The sequence below is a fragment of the Homo sapiens genome, chromosome 17 (assembly GCF_000001405.40).
Source record: "Homo sapiens chromosome 17, GRCh38.p14 Primary Assembly".
NCBI lineage: Eukaryota > Metazoa > Chordata > Mammalia > Primates > Hominidae > Homo > Homo sapiens.
Window position 1 is genome coordinate 66,126,040 of NC_000017.11, and position 17,871 is coordinate 66,143,910.

The 17,871-nt window shown below is 36.4% G+C and overlaps 1 protein-coding gene across 18 annotated transcripts in view; it reads right to left on the reverse strand.

Moving 5' to 3' along the window:
* Positions 1-17,871, reverse strand: part of CEP112 (centrosomal protein 112) — a 556,597-nt gene that overhangs the window by 490,503 nt on the left and 48,223 nt on the right. For 16 of the 18 annotated variants that reach the window (XR_007065281.1, XR_007065280.1, XR_007065282.1 and 13 more), the window contains exons 5-6: positions 6,631-6,724; positions 3,707-3,784 (exon numbers count right to left, since the gene is read on the reverse strand). Coding sequence is in view for 13 of the 18 variants with exons in the window: in NM_001353128.2 (NP_001340057.1) it covers positions 3,707-3,784; positions 6,631-6,724 (172 nt within the window). In the remaining 5 variants the exon portion in view is untranslated. Of the gene's footprint in view, positions 1-3,706; positions 3,785-6,630; positions 6,725-13,446; positions 13,480-17,871 lie in introns of those variants that run through there. The other 2 variants (XM_024450634.2, XM_011524465.3) reach the window with 1 other exon arrangement.

A 17,871-nucleotide genomic window follows, 5' to 3' on the forward strand; every position in this document is an offset into this window, starting at 1 on the left:
CTATAAGGTAGATAAAGGGATTTAAATTCAAAGAGAGACAGGATGCTTAACTTGTTTCATGATTGTGATTTTCATTGAATGTTAATATTATATGCCTCACTTATCAAAGAAAATTCACAAGCACATTCTAGAAACCAGAATGAACATACTTATGACTTTTTCCTACTACCTTAAAACTGTAGCACTTTACAAAGGAAGCTACAAATAATTCCTAGTCAACATCAAAAACTTCCAATATTCCTGACATAGATCTTAAGATATTACATTAATCGCAAAATAAATAGAATCTAAAACTTGAAAAACCAAATAAGACATAATTTTTAAAGTTTTTTTTCAAATGGGTACACATAGAGTGTTTCACAATGATCCACGAGTCACTAAAGGGAGAATGTTCCAAAGCCTCCATCCATGCAAGCACTCAAATGAACTTACAAATAGCGAATACCCACAGCACAAACATTCAGCTTGTGACTTAGAGAGTCAGACACGAAATAGGTAAAAAATATATTGAGAAAGCAAGAAAGCGTCATAAAAACTAAATGTTGAAAAGTTTAAATATTAAGAAAAAATACAAGAGAAAAATATCATTGCTAGTTTTTAATAAATAAATCTCTATTTGAATTATGTATTCCTAGAAAAAATACTAACATACTCCTGGGAAAATAAAGAATACATTTGGGAATTTGATTTCTGGGAAAATAAAGAATATATTTGGGAAAAATTTGATTTTTTAACAAAAGCTAGAAAATTCAAATTCTACAACATCTAAGGCATCAGAATGAAGGTGTTGACAGTAACATCAGTAATATAAAAAATGTATCCGTAGTCCAGAGCACAAAAATTAACTCTGGCTACTAATGGATCACTCAGAGGAAGAAAGAAAACAAGCCAGTCACACATTCTCAGACAAAACTAAAATCAAAGCAAAATCTAAGCTTTCTAATAAATTGAATACTTAAATTATTCTATTTAAAGAGATATTGCTCAGCCTGATTAATGCCTATATGGTACAAATATATAAAAATGCAAGACTTATATTTTACACTGTAAGTGTATTCTTTGAACAATAAAAATGTGAAACAAAACCCTAGACAGACCTACTTTTAAAGTATTACCTCACAATATCTTAAATGTTTTATTTTAATTTTATTATACCAAGGAAAGATTTAATTCTCAGAACAGTTAAACAACCGTGAAAAGTACTCTATGTGCTAAGTAATGTATATCATGTTTCAAGTGGCTAAGGGCAAAGGTGAGTTTAAAAGGATAGCTCCAGAATTTTCTTTTCCACTTTGATGTTGCTCTCTGGCAAAAGGAATTTGTCTTTCTGAAGGATTTCCTGTGCTCTTCTCCCACACTGGTAACAGGACTTGCCTCCAATGGCAACTTCCCCTGCACCTTAAAACATGAAAATGTTTTTCTTTTGATTTATTATCCTCCTCTCATCAATTCTACTTCTCTCCTTCTCTAGAAAACTCCCAAAATTAATAGGAGGCCCACATTACTTTAATTTCCTATCCATTTCCCAACCTTCTAACTGTGCCCATTCCATGAACCAGACATCCTCCCTTACTCTGCTCTCCACCCAGACCTCCTGACTCTCTGAGCTCTCCAAAGATTAGAGCTGTTCTAGTCTCCGGGCGCAGCTGCCTCCTCAAACAGTGTGACTCCAACATATACCTCCAGCTCTTGACTCTCAGGAAGCTCTAGGCCTTGAACTATCCCATTTAACCTTACCAGTTTTCAAACTCCACTATTTAAATTAAAACCTTTAAAATGGATCCGCCCTCATCTGACAGTCAATTAACTGACAAAAGGCCAACATTTCCGTTTCTCAGAACCAAGCCTTTAGGTGCCCTTCAGTTCAGCCTTTCAATCAGTCACTTAGCACATTTTACTCTCTCAAAAGTTTTTCCTTTTTACCTTTCCCTCCTCCCAGCAATCATACTAACATGGAGTCCACTATAAAGACCTAAAACGGCCAGGCGCGGTGGCCCACACTTGTAATCCCAGCACTCTGGGAGGCCAAGGTGGGCAGATCACCTGAGGGTCGGGAGTTCGAGACCAGCCTGACCAACATGGTGAAACCCCCGTCTCTACTAAAAATACAAAAATTAGCCAGGCATGGTGGCACGCACCTGTAATCCCAGCTACTTGGGAGGCTGAGGCAGGAGGATTGCTTGAACCCAGGAGGCAGAGGTTGCAGTGAGCCACAATAGCACCACTGCACTCCAGCCTGTGCGACACAGCAAGATTCTGTCTCAAAAAAAAAAAAAAAAAAAAGACAGAAAGAAAAAGTATAAGAAAAAAAAAGACCTAAAAGATAATCAAGACCTTGTCTGCATTTCTACTCATATCCAATAGAACTTTCATAATCCCACCAAGTCAATTTCCCTAAAGCACTGCTTTCATTAAAGACCATTATTAGTAGGAAGTTTTTAAGTTTTTTGAAATAACAATCCCTAATGTCAGTGAATAGGTGGAAAATGGACAACTGATATACTGCTGGTTGAAGAAAATGGACAACTGATACTGCTGGTTGAAATTGGTATGAACCTTCTGGAAGACAATGTACCAAAGATGTAATGTAAGCTAAGAAAGCAATCAAATATGTATAAAAAGATTCTTATAAGGAATTTTACTGCAAAATTACTTGTGTTAAACAAACTGGGAGCAATTCAGATGTCCAAAAATAGCAGAACACTTAAAAAGTTTATGGAATATCCATCCGAAAGAAAAATAAATGCTACCATTCACAGTCATTTATATAGAATTCTTATAAATTCATATAAAATGTTAAATTGCATATAAGATAGCATTTATAATAAATTTTGTTGAATCTTATAAAAACACACAGAAAAAAGGGAGGAAAAGATATGTTATATAACAAAATGTTAACACAGGTCTCTGTTGATTTTTATTCCTCTGATTTTCTATATTTTTCAAATTACAAATTATTTTTATAATAAAACATATTCTAAAATCATTCTAAGCACTTTTTGTTGTTTCCTCAAAGCATTTAAACAGTTAGCATTTATGTAAAGTGAAATGAGAAAAAAAAAATGCAGGGCTCAATGTTGCCTAAAATTTAAAAGCTAAACTTCTCAATTTAGCATTCAAAGCTCCAATGCAACGCAGCCTGACACAGTGCCCACAGATTCCATACATAAATTCCAAACACCCAATCACGACAGCTCACTTACCCCACTACATCTTTCTTCGTGCCTATTTCTGCCTCCAATTCCCACCTCTCTACCTCTCCAAATACTTTCATGACCCTCAGCCTCTATAAACTGTTTTCCGTAAGAGCTGCTCATCCATGGGGTCCCCTTGAGTGTTTTTAACCCAAATGGCTGTGTTGCTTCAAGTTCTCCCTTCCCTCCCCTCCACCTCGGGCGACTCACATAACTCATCTTGGTATTCTACCATATACTATCTTTAATTATTATTTATTATTATTTAACTATTTTATGTGCATATCTCTTATTTCACACATAACAAAGTTAGCTTGTTGGGGACAGGGACTATTTTATGTTTGTTCAGAATGTTATTTATTTCCTATACTTAAGCCCTTCTCAAGGCCACACAGTAACATATGTCTAACATCCAACGTTCACTGAATAAAATCAAATTAGTTCAGATATTATACACATACAATATGATTTTGACACATCTATATATACATAAAGCAAATACTTTTTTTTACCCCAAGATTCCAACTATTAAGGCGAGCTTCAATGTCACTATCATCCAAAGAAACAGGAGATTTTTTCGAATAAACTTCCTGAAATACAAAAGGGAAAAAGGAAGAGGAGAGGAAGGAAAGATGGAAGAAATAAAAGGAAAAGATGGAAGAGATAAAAGAGGAAAAGATAGAAGAGATAAAGGGAAATAAAGAGGAAGGAAGTAAAAAAGGAAAAAAGGAAGAAAGGAAGGGATGAAAAGAAGGGAAAGAGGGGGAAGGGAGGGAGAAAAAGAAGAGAAAGAAGTGGGACGGGAGGGAGAAAAAAAGAACAAAATACATGTCATTCAGCGCAATGAGAGTTTTGTGTGCTTGTCTGGTAATGCTGTATTGCCCTCAGAGGAAAGGATTAGGTTACAACTGAACTAGGGTTCTCAGTTCTAAGTAATGACTGCTGAGGGCTATGAGCTGCCTTAACAATATATTCACACAGCAACTAAATTTCAAAAAAAAAAAAATTAAAAATTAATCCAGGCTCTTCTCTTTAAGTTCTTTTACAAAAAGTTTTAATTGTGGTATACCACAGTAGCTTTAAAGTGTATTGTCGGGGGCAGGGGCGACGTGAAAAGATGAATTATTCTCATAAAAATTAGTTAACAGGGAAGTTTTGTGATGATGTCCAAGAAGCTCTTTGTTCTTAAATTAATTCTCACTCACACACTGAACATAAAGATAAATAATCTTTGGACTCACATCATAAAAACACAATTATGGTTGGGCACAGTGGCTCACACCTGTAATCCCAGCACTTTGGGAGGCCGAGGCGGGCAGATCACGAGGTCAGGAGATCAAGACCATCCTGGCTAACAGGCTGAAACCCTGTCTCTACTAAAAATACAAAAAAATTAGCCGGGCGTGGTGGTGGGCACCTGTAATCCCAGCTACTCGGGACGCTGAGGCAGGAGAATGGTGTGAACCCGGGAGGTGGAGCTTGCAGTGAGCCAAGATCACGCCACTGCACTCCAGCCTGGGCGACAGAGCGAGACTCCGTCTCAAAAAAAAAAAAAAAAAACACACACAATTATGGTGATTCTTCACTTTTTAAAACATAACAATTCCATGCTTTTTTCCCTCCTGTATAATTTTTGTATTACACATTTATCAGCCCCAGATGAAAACTATAATGAACTAGAGACAACCTAAGATCTGTACCCAGAAATTGACAATGACCAGAAAACCCTAAAAACTAAGAAAGGTAAGTCTGTGGAAAAGAATGGCTACCTGACAGCCCAGAAAGTGTATTTTAAAATTAGATTTGTTGATACAGCATTCTCATGCTTTTAGAAGGCTTAATTGCTAACAAATGTACCTATTTATATCTATGGTCATTTAAATTACTATGAAGTAATTTTTTTAAATGCACTAAAATGTTCTTCATATTTTACTGAGTTTCTACATTTCTTTTCAATACAATACTGCATTATTATTTATAATACTATATTAAAATTCATTATCACTTCTACTAGTGGTCCTCTGCTTTTTGTATGTTTTTCTCATGAACAAGAATTTCTTAAATAAGACAATGTACCTGCCTTGCTTATTCTGAGTAAATATAATGATTGTAGTTTATCACTATTTAAAATATGCTGCCCTTTATATTTTTTTAATTCCAAATTATCATTCGATAAAATGCAATGAGTTATGTATATAGTGCTATGTGCTAAAACAGTCATGTGTTGGCCGGGGGCAGTGGCTCACGCCTGTCATCCCAGCACTTTGGGAGGCTGAGGCGGGCGGATCACGAGGTCAGGAGATCAAGACCATCCTGACTAACACAGTGAAACCCCGTCTCTACTAAAAATACAAAAAATTAGCCAGGTGTGGCGGCAGGCGCCTGTAGTCCCAGCTACTCGGGAGGCTGAGGCAGGAGAACGGCGTGAACCCGGGAGGCGGAGCTTGCAGTGAGCCGAGATCATGCAGGTGCCACTGCACTCCAGCCTGGGCGACAGAGCAAGACTCCATCACAAAAAAACAAAAACAAAAACAGTCATGTGTTACACATGCTTTCTCTTGTAACTAAAAGTCATGTAACTCAAGACAGCCAGAGTTAGGCAATAAAGACTGGAATAAGCAGGCACAGTGTTTCTCTTTTCCAAGCTAACTGGGGCTGGGTGCAGTGGCTCATGCCTGTAATCCCAACACTTTGGGAGGCTGTGGCGGGTGGATCACTTGAGGTCAGGAGTTCAATACCAGCCTGGTCAACATGGTGAAACCCTGTCTCTACTAAAGATACAAAAATTAGCCAGGCATGGTGGTGCATGCCTGTAGTCTCAGCTACTTGGGAGGCTGAGGCAGGAGAATGGCTTGAACCCGGGAGGCGGAGGTTGCAGTGAGCCAAGATTGCACACCACTGCTCTCCAGCCTGGGCAACAGTGAGACTCCATCTCAAAAAAAAAAAAAAAAAAAAAAAAAAAAAAAAAAAAGCTAACTGGAGTGCTCATTAGCACCTTGTCCAAAGCAAATCTATGTTGAACAAATAGATGCAAGACAGACATTCTTATTTCAAAATATACAGTTTACCTTCATTAGAAAAGCAGTGTTCCCTACTTCACTACAAGTTAATTCCAGCTTCTTCTTAATTTTATGATCACTGGGTATATAATCATTTCCACATAAATTCTGAACAAAGGGAAAATGTTATTCTTTGACACACAGGAGAAACAACAGATTGATGAATATAACACCTCAGAATCATTGAGGAAGTAGAAGGGATACTACACTATATACCAAACACCCCACCTTCTTTAACATCAGGATGTTCACCAGAATCATCCAACTTTATTCTGTTTTGAAGCAATCATTGGTACTTCAACAAATGAAATTAAAACTTTGTTCAGCTATTTTAAAACAACAAGCAAAAACCAAACAAAAGTAAAATCTAATCTTACACAAATCTTTGGGGTAATATTTTGTCCATCTTCTCTGTGAGTTGGACTCAAGGAGTGTGATCTCACTCGGAGCTTCCCAGTGTACTGTTCCCTGCTAAGAGACCAAAATAATCGCAATCACAATTTGGAGAATTCAGAGGACACAGAGTATTAGAATCTAGGATTACCATTTCTTTCCCTTGGAACTGAGATGATAGTTTGTATTAACAATGATGTTCCATAGCCGGGCGTGGTGGCGAGTGCCTGTAATCCCAGCTACTTGGGAGGCTGGGGCAAGGAGAATCACTTGAACCTGGGAGGCAGAGGTTGCAGTGAGCTGAGATTGTGCCACTGCACTCCAGCCTGGGAGACAGTGCGAGACTCATCTCAAACAACAACAACAACAACAAAAAACACACAAAAAATGATGTTCCACATCAAAAAAAAAAAAGAAAAGAAATACAAGTAATAACCTTTTTATTTATATTTCATTTCATTTAAATTATAAGAAGTTACATAAATGCCACAGACTTGCTTATGCAAATGCTATTTTTAAGTCAGACTGTAATAAATCACCTGTATTTAAATCTTTTCTCCTCCTTTCCCATTTTTCCCAAGTGTAAAAAGAGAGAAAATGAAGCATATATTCTACGGGAAGAACATTGTTTTAAGGTCAGCAAACTTGGTTGGATTCATGTTCCACATCAACATGAAGCCTTAAAATATATAAAATAACAAAACCTTCATGTAGTTTAAAGTTTCAATTAATTTGAAAGCATGTCAGAAACCACAGATATATCAAAATCTTCTATTTAAAAACACACCATGTTAATTTAGGTAAAATGTGAAATGCAGAGTAAGTAGGAAATGAGTTTAAATGGACTTCATCAAAAAGACTCGTCTCTAATATAAATATCATATAAAATACATTCTTAAATGGCCTCCTTTAGCCTGGAGTCTCTCTTATATGATTTTATTCAAACCACTTCAATGCAAGTCCCATGATTATGAACACCTATTCTCTGAACAACTGCTTCAAGATATATTAAATGGAAAATAACCATTATACAATGAATTAAAGTCACTAACATTCAACCACAAACCATATTAGGATTTCCTTCACAAACTGTGACCTACACGAAGTATTTCTAAAAGACAGAATGTTAATTCAAAAGACAATATTAAAACAAATGTATTTTGTAATTAAAACTCACAGAATAACATTCCTTAGACTAGTTAATAAGTAATGTAAAATGGCTGAAAAAGCTGTTTTAAAGAGAGCTGTTTTTTTTAATACCCCTATTCAGTAGTACAAACATCCAAATAGTTAAAATCAAATGAGAAAAATGGGCAAAGTTAATATTTTGAGTATAATTGTACCAGTCAATGTGCATCAGCTGATACAAGCATTTAAAACTCTATGAGGAGAGGTAACCTGATATGTCATACTAAGCAGTGGCGTATTCTTAAGAATAGATTAAATAATCATAAAAAGATCTATACTTAAAAATTGAAAAATGCTTAAATATTAAAATTCTTCTCATAAAAAAATACTAATTTAAAAATGAGCCTGAAATGTTTATCTATTTATTGCACAGGGTTGCATACATAAAACGACACACCCTCTTGTTTCACTTGTAGCTGTCCTTCTGTACCAACCTCTTTACCCTCACGATAAATTTTCAAAAATGTTATTGGGTCCATGCTCTAACTTGTCATATATTTTTCAATCAACTACAGTATGACTTGCATTCATCCCAAAAGTCCTATAACTAAGGTCATCAACAGTCTCCTAGACACTCAAGAAAATGAGTCATAATCTGTCCTTAATTTAGTTGATCTCACTAAAACATTAGAGATAGTAGTTTAAAGATGCTGCATTCAATGGCTCCATAAAACCATTCTCTGGCCAGGTGCAGTAGCTCACAACTGTAATCCCAGCACTTTGGGAGGCCAAGGTCAGCCTATTGCTTAAACTCAGGAGTTTGAGACCAGCCTGGGCAACATGCGACAAAAAGCAGTCAGTCGGGCATGGTGGTACATGCCTGTGGTCCCAGCTACTTGGGAGGCTGAGGTAGGAGGATCACTTGAGACCAGCGGGAGGTTGAGGCTACAGTGAGCTGTGATTGTTCCACTGCACTCCAGCCTGGGTGACAGAGTGAGACCCTGTCTAAAAACAAACGAACAAACAAAAACCATTTTTCCATGGTTCTCATCCTATCATTCAGAGATCTCCTTCACAATAACCTTCACTAGCTTTCTTTGCCCATCCCATACATGCTGTGATCCCAGAGTTCTGTGTCTAATTTATTTTCATTTTACATGCTTTCTCTGGATGATCCAATGTATTAGTTTTTCAAATAATAAGTTTTGCTTACAAAATCTACATCTATAGTCCAAATTGCTCCCTTGGCCTCCAAACCCATTACAAAACAAAATGAATAGCCCTACTTCCAATTCAACATGTCCATTATTATTAACTAAACTTACTATGTTACCCCTAATACGTGCTCCAATGAAGCCCAAGTAATGGAGAGGCATTGCAGAAGCCAGCTTCTTGTGAAGGCATTTGAGCCAACTGAAGGAGAAGGTTGGTATCATTGTTAAAATCTGGCTGGCACAAGAAAAACAGGACATTAGGTACAGATGTTTCATTTTCTGCCATAAGACTGTCTCCAGCTGGAAACAACTTAAACTCTAAGTAAGTACAAAGGCTGAAATTCAGTGATGGCACTAGTGGTCTGAGTGAACAGTGAAACAGAAAGTGGGAGAAAAGTTCAACCTTAAAAGCCTTTTTATGAATAACAAGTGCCACACGCCACACAGAATAGCAAGTCCTGGTGCTTATAAGCACAACCTACAATTGGTACAGGGGACCTGATCACAGTGAGCTCATAATATGGTACTTGTGCCAAGCAGAAAAGCGGTATTGTGCCTCAATTAATTTCAGGATGCCAAAACCAACATGGAAAGAAAAAATTCAGTACATTTGTAACATTCCCTGACATGCCCTTTACTACTCTTAAGCCATAAAACTAGGAGAATATAAATTTTCCCTTTCACTTTTTCCTAATGAGAAAATATTTCAACAGGAATTCACAAACACTCTCAAAGTATCAATGCTGATTCTTAATACTAGAAAAATATAAACTTATCCCTGTACAGATAAAGAAATAAGGAATGATACTATATATAGATATAGATATAGATATAGATATATAGATATAAAGCCTAAAGGAAGACCAATCAAATGTCCTCCTGTAAAAGAAAATTACTTTAGGGGGTGACGTCAGATGTCAGCAAGACTCTCCTTCTCTCAATGGACACATAAATTCAACAACAATACATAGACCAAAATTTCCTTTGTGAGACATCCAGAGACCAGATGAGAGGCTCCTGTACTCCAGGCAAGCATGAAACCAACCACACTGAAGCCAGTAGGAAAATTTGTGGAATCCTCTTGCGCCATAAGCAAGGTTACTTAAGGGACTTGTTGCTGTCTTGCCTGAATCTTAGCTGTGACAGGAAAGGGTCCCAGGTTGGGAACTGCTGAGAACGAAGCCTCCAGTTTGGACTAGTATGCAGTAACTGACCATAGCCCCTCCCACCAGCTCAGAACTAGCAGGTGGAAACCCCCAGTCCCAACTTCTCCCTGGGGAACGAAAAAGCTGAAGCATCTGTCCAACATTCTGGCTTTTGGAAGGGGCTGCCTAAGGGACCGGATTCTGCAAGTACTCACAGGACTGGTATTCTCTAAATGCCTGGGGACCACTGAGAACAAAGGTGGTGGTTTGGACTAGTAAACACTCACGGCCAGAGCTCCTACCCCTGGCTCAGCACAATTAGAAAAACTCATGGTCCACAGCTTCTCCCTGGGGAGGGAAAGAGAAAACTAAAGCATATATCCAACATTCAGACTCTTGGGGGACTGCCCAAGGAACTTGTTTCTGTCTCATCTGTCTTGAAGCACTGGTGGGACGCAGCATAAACTAAGTGCCTAGGGGCAGCTGAAACTAAAAAAGCAAGTAATAACCAAAAAAGGATTGAGCCAGTGTGCTACTAGCTCCAGAAGGCCCATGGTACAAGACACAGAATAAGAAGGAACAAGAGATTATGATCTCCTAAAAACAGAAACCAGAAAATCCCACTATTTAGAAATTTACACACAGAAGTCCAGAGAAGACATATCCACAGAAAAAGTTTATGAGGACCCCAGAATCTCTACTCAGGCCGATTCTTGAAGGTCTGCCCCTGTACAAAGCCAATCCATAAAGACTGGGAGAAGCGGCTGTTTTTCAAATATGCAGACATTAACACAAAGGGTCAAGGAAAATGAAAAATGGCCCAAAGAAAGGAACAAAATAAATCTCCAGAAACCAACCCTAAAGAAATGAAGGTAAATGGATTAGCTGGTAAGAATTAAAAACAACCATAATCAAAATATTCAATAAGCTTAGGATAAATTATGCATAAACAAAATGAGTATTTTAACAAACAAAATATTTTTAAAAAGAAAAATTTGAGGGCTGAAGAATACAATAACTGAACTAAAAACTTAACTAAAGGGGCTCAACAGCAGCCTTGATCAAGTACAAGAAAGAATCAGTAAACTCAAAGACAGGACATTTGAAATTATACATTCCACAAGAGCAAAAATGTTTTTAAAAGACTGAAGAAAACATAAGAAACTTATGAGACACTATCAAGCAGGCCAATTTACATATTACTAAAGTTAGAGAAAGAGAAGAGAGAGAAAAGCAGTAAGCTTATTTAAAGAACTAATCTGAAGAGAAAAATGGACATCCAGATTTATGAAGCTCAAAGAATCCCAAGTAGGTTGAATGTAAAGAGATCTACACCAGGACACATTATAATCAAATTGCCAAAAGTCAAAGACAAAGAATTTTGAAATCAAAAAGAGAAAAGCAACTCACTACATACAAAGGAGACTCATAAAACTGTAAAAGGATTTTTCAACAGAAACTTTATAGGCCAGGAGAGAATGGGATGATATATGCAAAGTACTGAAAGAGAAAAACTGCCAGTCAAGGATATTATTATATACCATGCAAATCTGTCCTTTAAAAATGAAAGAGAGATACGGTCCCAGATAAACAAAAGTTGAAGGAGTTCATCACCACTACACTTGACTTAAAAGAAATTCTAAAGGGAGTTCTTCAAGTTGAAATGAAAGGACACTAGTTAGTAGCATGAAAACACATGAAAATATGAAACTCACTGATAAAATTATATATAAAATACAGATTACTCTATTGATATAATAGTGGTGCATAAATCATTTTCAACTTCAACATAAAAATGAAAAGATGAAAGTCTTAAAAATAACTATAACAGTTACTGAAACACCAGGAGTCCAGTCTAGGTCCCATTGCTCACCGCACAGAAAGTCAATCAATGAGATCAATGAGACAATGAGTATTGCTAGGGAAGAAGGCTTTATTTGGGCACTGCAGCCAAGCAGATGGGAGATCAGTATCAAATCCATCTCCTCGCCCAACTAAAATTAGTTTATATAGCAGGAAGAACTGTAACTACCTGTGGGAAAACAGGAATTAGGGACTGGTAAGGAAGAGGAGTTCGTCAACAGGAAGCAGGTGGTTGGTCAGGCAATCATGATAGGTGAGGGGTCTGGCATAACATTGTCTAGATGCAGTGATCTGGTAAGTTTCAGTTCCTTGATACTATCTGGGATACCTGATGGTTGGTTTCCAGAGACAGGAACTCAAATAAGACAAACGTTAAGTTTCTCCAGTGTTAAGACTGGGTGGGTTAATTTCTATGTTTATTCAAAAAAACCATAAACATCCATTTTATGGGACAACTTGGATGGTTTCATACCACAAAATAATTTGTTAATGAATACAGAATATTAAAAGGTGAAAATCGGGACATTAATAACAAAGTGTGTGAGTAAAAGTATTGAATTTTTTAATGCAATCGAAGTTATCAGCTTAAAATAGGTTGTTACAACTATAAGATGATTTATGTAAGCCTTATGGTAACACAAATTCTTTAAATATAGTAAGTACACAAAACATAAAAAAAAAGAATCAAAGCAAACCACAGTAACAATAAACACATCATCAAATCACAAAGAAATATAAGGAAGAAATGAACAAAGGAATTATATAACAGTCAGAAAGCAATTAACAAAATGACTTATTAAGTCCACAAATGTGTGAAAATTAAACAACAAATTCTCATCAATCAATGAGTCAAATAAGAAAGCAAAATAAAGGAAATTAGAAAACATCTTGAGACAAATGAAAACAAAAACACAACATACCAAAATGTGTAGGATTCAGTGAAAGCAGTGCTAAGAGGAAAATTTACAACTGTAAAAGCTTATATTAAAAAAGAAAAAAAACTCTAACAACCTAGATGCACACCTTAAGGAACTAAAAAAAGAACAAACTAAACTCAAAGCCAGCAGAAGGAAGTAAATATTAATAGTAAGGATTAGGGCAGGGATAAAACAGAAAATAGAAAAACAACAGAGAAAATGAAACTAAGAGTTGATTTATTGAAATGATCAACAAAATTGAAAAACCTTTGGCTACACAGAATAAGAAAAAAGGAGAGAAGACTAAACAACTAAAATCAGAAATGAAAGATAAGACATTACACTCAATTTAACAGAAATAAAAAGAATGACTGGGTGCAGTGGCTCATGCCTGTAATCCCAACACTTTGGGAGGCTGAGGCAGGAGGACTGCTGGAGCCCAGGAGTACATGACCAGCCTCAGCAACATAGTGAGCCTCATTTCTACAAAAAAATAAAAATAATAAAAATTAGCTGGATGTGGTGGCACACACCTGAGGTCCCAGCTACTTGGGAGGATGAGGTAGGATTGCTTCAGCCCAAGATGTCAAGGCGGCAGTGAGCAGTGATTGCACCACTGTGCTCCAGTCCGGGTGACAGAGTGAGAATCTATCTCAAGAGAAAAAAAAAAGTTATAAAAAGAACTGTAAGAAAGTACTATGAGCAACAGTATGCCAATGTATTGGATAACCCAGATGAGATGACCAAATTACTCGAAATGCAAAACTTACCAAGATTGAATCATGAAGAATAGAAAATATGAACAGACCAATAACTAGTAAGGAAACTGAATCAGTAATTAAAAATCTCCCAACCAAGAAAAGCCCAGAACCAGATGACTTCACTGGTGAATTCTACCAAACATTTGAGAAGTGATGCCAATCCTCCTCAAACCCATTCAAAACACTGAAGAGGGAATACTCCCAAATTCATTTTACAAAGCCAGCATTACCCTGATACCAAAACCAGACAAAGACACTACAATAAAGGAAAATTACAAGCCAATACCTGAATAACATAGATGCAAAAATCCTCAACAAAATACTAGCAAACTGAATTCCATGGCACATTAAAAGAATCATACACCATAATCAAGTGGGATTTATCCCTAAGATGCCAGGATGGTACAATATATGCTAAATAATAAATGCGATACCCCACATTAACAGAATGAAGAATAGAGATTATATGATCATTTGGATCGATGCAGAAAGAGCATGACGAAATTCAATATTTTTTTATGATAAAAACTCAATAAATTCAGTACAGAAGGAATGTACATCAGAATAATAAAATGCATATATGACAAAGCCCATACCTAGCATAATACTCGAACAGTGAAAAGCTAAAAAAAGCTTTTCCTCTAAGATCAAGAACAAGGCAAGAAGGCTCACTGTCACCACCTATTAAATAGTACAGCAGTCCTAGCCAGAGTAGTCAGGCAAGAGAAAGGCATCCAAATCAGAAAGTAAAAAGGAAAATGGTTTCTATTTGCAGATGACATAATTGTATATGCAGAAAACCCTAAAGACTGCATTAAATAACTATTTAAACTAATAAATGAATTCAGTAAAATTTCAGGATACAAAACCAACATACAAAAATCAGTAGCACTTCTTTACACTAACAATGAATTATCCAAAAAGAAATCAAGAGAGCAGTCCCATTTACTGTTATTTTTGCTCTTGTTGCCAAGGCTGGGGTGCAATGGTGCAATCTTGGCTCACTGCAACCTCCACCTCCTGGGTTCAAGCAATTCTCCTGCCTCCCCGAGTGGCTGGGATTACAGGCACACACCACCACGCCTGGCTAATTTTTTTTTTATTTTTATTTTTAGTAGAGTTGGGGTTTTGCCATGTTGGTCAGGCTGGTCTCAAACTCCTGATCTCAAGTGATCTGCCCGCCTCAGCCTCCCAAAGTGCTGGGATTACAGGTGTGAGCCACCGTGCCCAGCCTTAAGTTCATTCTTTCAGGCTCTTTTCAGTATAATCTTGATGAGCATTGTGAGTACTACTTCTTTATTGCTTCTCCAGTTTCTGTTTGTTTCCTCTTGGAATTCATATTATCTCTGTATTGGGGATTTTGAATCTATATTCTTCATCTCTTACACTTCCATTTGTTATAGCCATCTTTTTATTTTTTCCTTTGTTTTCTCAGAAAATTTTTTGAGCTGGTTTTCTAATTCACTGATTTGATTTTCTGTAATATTTAATCTGCTGTTTTCTGTAATATTTAATCTGCTGTTTTCTGTTTCCATTGTGATTTTCAGATTTAGTAATCATGTTTTTCAATTGTAAGCACATTTTTATGATCAGACTGTTCATCCCCTTTTCACATATGAAATGTCTACTTGAATCATATTGAAAAAAATTAAATAAACATTTTAGAAATTTCTCTTTTTAAAATAGTTTTTTTCTTTTATTGTGGTAAAAATACACAACATGAGATCTACTTAAGATTTTAAGTGTACAGCACAGTATTGCAGCTATAATCACAGTGTTGTGCAGCAGACTTCTAGAACGTTTTCATCTTCTGTAGCTGAAATTTTATATGCATTGAACAGCAACTCCCCATTTTCCCCGTCTGTAAGCCCCTGGCAGCTACCATTCTACTCTCCTCTTCTATGGGTTTGACTACTATATAGTATTTATCCTATTGTGATTGGCTATTTAACTCAGCAAAAGTCCTCCAGCTTCATCTATCTTGTCACATATGATAGCATTTCCTTTTATTAATGTTGAAAAATATTCTATTTTATGTATATACCATATTTTGTTAATCCATTCATTTGTAGATGAACATATAGGTTGTTTCCACATCCTGACTATTGTGAATAATGCTGCAGTGAACACAGGAGTACAGACAGCTTTTTGAGATCCTGATTTTTCTTTAGCTTTACACCCAGAAGAGGGATTTGCTGGATCATAAGGTAATTCTATTTTTGATTTTTTGAGGAACTTCCACACTGTTTTCCATAATGGCTATATCAATTTATGTTCCTACCAACAGTGGACAAAGATTCCCTTTTCTCCAAATCCTGGACAACACTTGATATCTTTTGTCTTTTTGATAATAGTCATTCTAACAGGTGTGAGTGATAGCTCATGTGGTTTTGATTTGCATTTTGCTGATGATGCGTGATGTTGAACATTTTATATATTGTATGTCCACTTTGGAGAAACGTGTATTCAAGTTCTTTGCCCATCTTAAAATTGGGTTGTTTTGGGGCAGTTGAGTTGAGTACTTTATATAGATTGAATATTAACCTATTATTACATATGTGGCTTGCAAATATTTTATCTGATTCTGTAGCTTGTCTCTTCACTCTGTTGATTGTTTGCTGTGCAGGAGATTTTTAAGTTGATAAAATCCCATTTGTCTATCTTTGCTTTAGTTGCCTATGTTTTGGGGTTATATCTAAGAAATTACTGCCTAGACCAATGTCAAGAAGCTTTCCCCCTACGTTTTCTTCTAGTCGTTTACAGTTTCAGATCTTATGTTTAAGTCTTTAACGCATTTCTAGTTGATTTTTGTGTATGGTGCAAGATAAGGGCCAAATTTTCTTTTTATGCTTGTGGACTTCCGGTTTTCCTAACACCATTTATTGAAGTGATTATCCATTAACCATTGTGTGTTCTTGGCACCTCTGTCAAAGATCAGTTGACTGTAAATGCGTGGGTTTATTTCTGGGCTCTTTATTTTGTTCCATTGGTCTATATGTCTGTCTTTACGCCAGTATCATACTGTTTCAATTACTATAGATTTGTAATACATTTTGAAATCAGGAAGTATCATTTCTCCGGCTTTGTTCTTCTTGCTCAAGATTGCTTTGGCTATTTGGAGTCTTTTGTGATTCCATGAATTTTCATATTTTTTTTATTGTTGTGAAAAAAGCCGTTGGAGTTTTGATAGGGATTGCATTGAAATTGTAGATTGCTTTGTGTATGGACATTTTAACAATATTAATTCTTCCAATCCATGAGCACAGGATATCTTTCCATTTATCTGTGTCTTCAGTTTCTTTCACTGATGTTTTACAGTTTTCAGTGTATAGATCTTTTCCACCTTTGGTTAAATTTATTCCTAGGTATTTTATTTGATTTTTGTTGCCAAATGGATTATTTTAGCTGTGTATGAAACAGAAGAAATCAAGAGAAATGAAGCAGAGAAGACAAGGCTCAGATTTCAAGCAGGGTCCAGAGATATATTCATATGTCCAACATAGGATATATAAGATGGTAAAAGCAAATTATTTTTCATTCTCAGCTTCTTCCACTAGCAAAAGGCTCTGAAGGAAGAAACAATCCAAGGGCAAAGATCAAATCCAAGGTTTTGCCAGTAAAATATGGACTCAGGATCAAAATTTCAAGGACACATCTTTACACACTTGGTTAAGACCTCAGAAAGATTTGGGCAGTGCCTGAAAAAAGCAAAACAAAAAGGCTTCTAAACGTTTCCATGTTGTACCTCTTAGAAGCTCTCTGACAGATAAGAGGGATTCTAAGAATCATAAGGGTGTTGTACTACAGTATCCTGATTCCTGGACCAAAACAGAGAAAGTCTGTCTCAAAGAAATTCGTGAATACGGTGTTTGTCTAATGGAATGGATTACAATTCGATACACAGAAAGGTGCAAAATTTTTAAAGGAATTATAGCTTCATTTGAAAGAGTTCAAAATGAAAATATGCATTTGGTTCCCCAAATTCATACAAACAGAAAGCAGGCTGAAAAAACTATTCAGCTGAAAGCAAATTATTTCTTGTGGTAACAGAAACATAGCTCAGAGGGAAGAGCCAAGATCATGAAAAACAGAGCAAACAGCCATGAAGAACCACTCCCAAGAAACAGCACTAAGACCTATCATGAAACGGGCAACAAATGCCTGGCTAGATTTCAGAACTGCTATAAACTATCATTG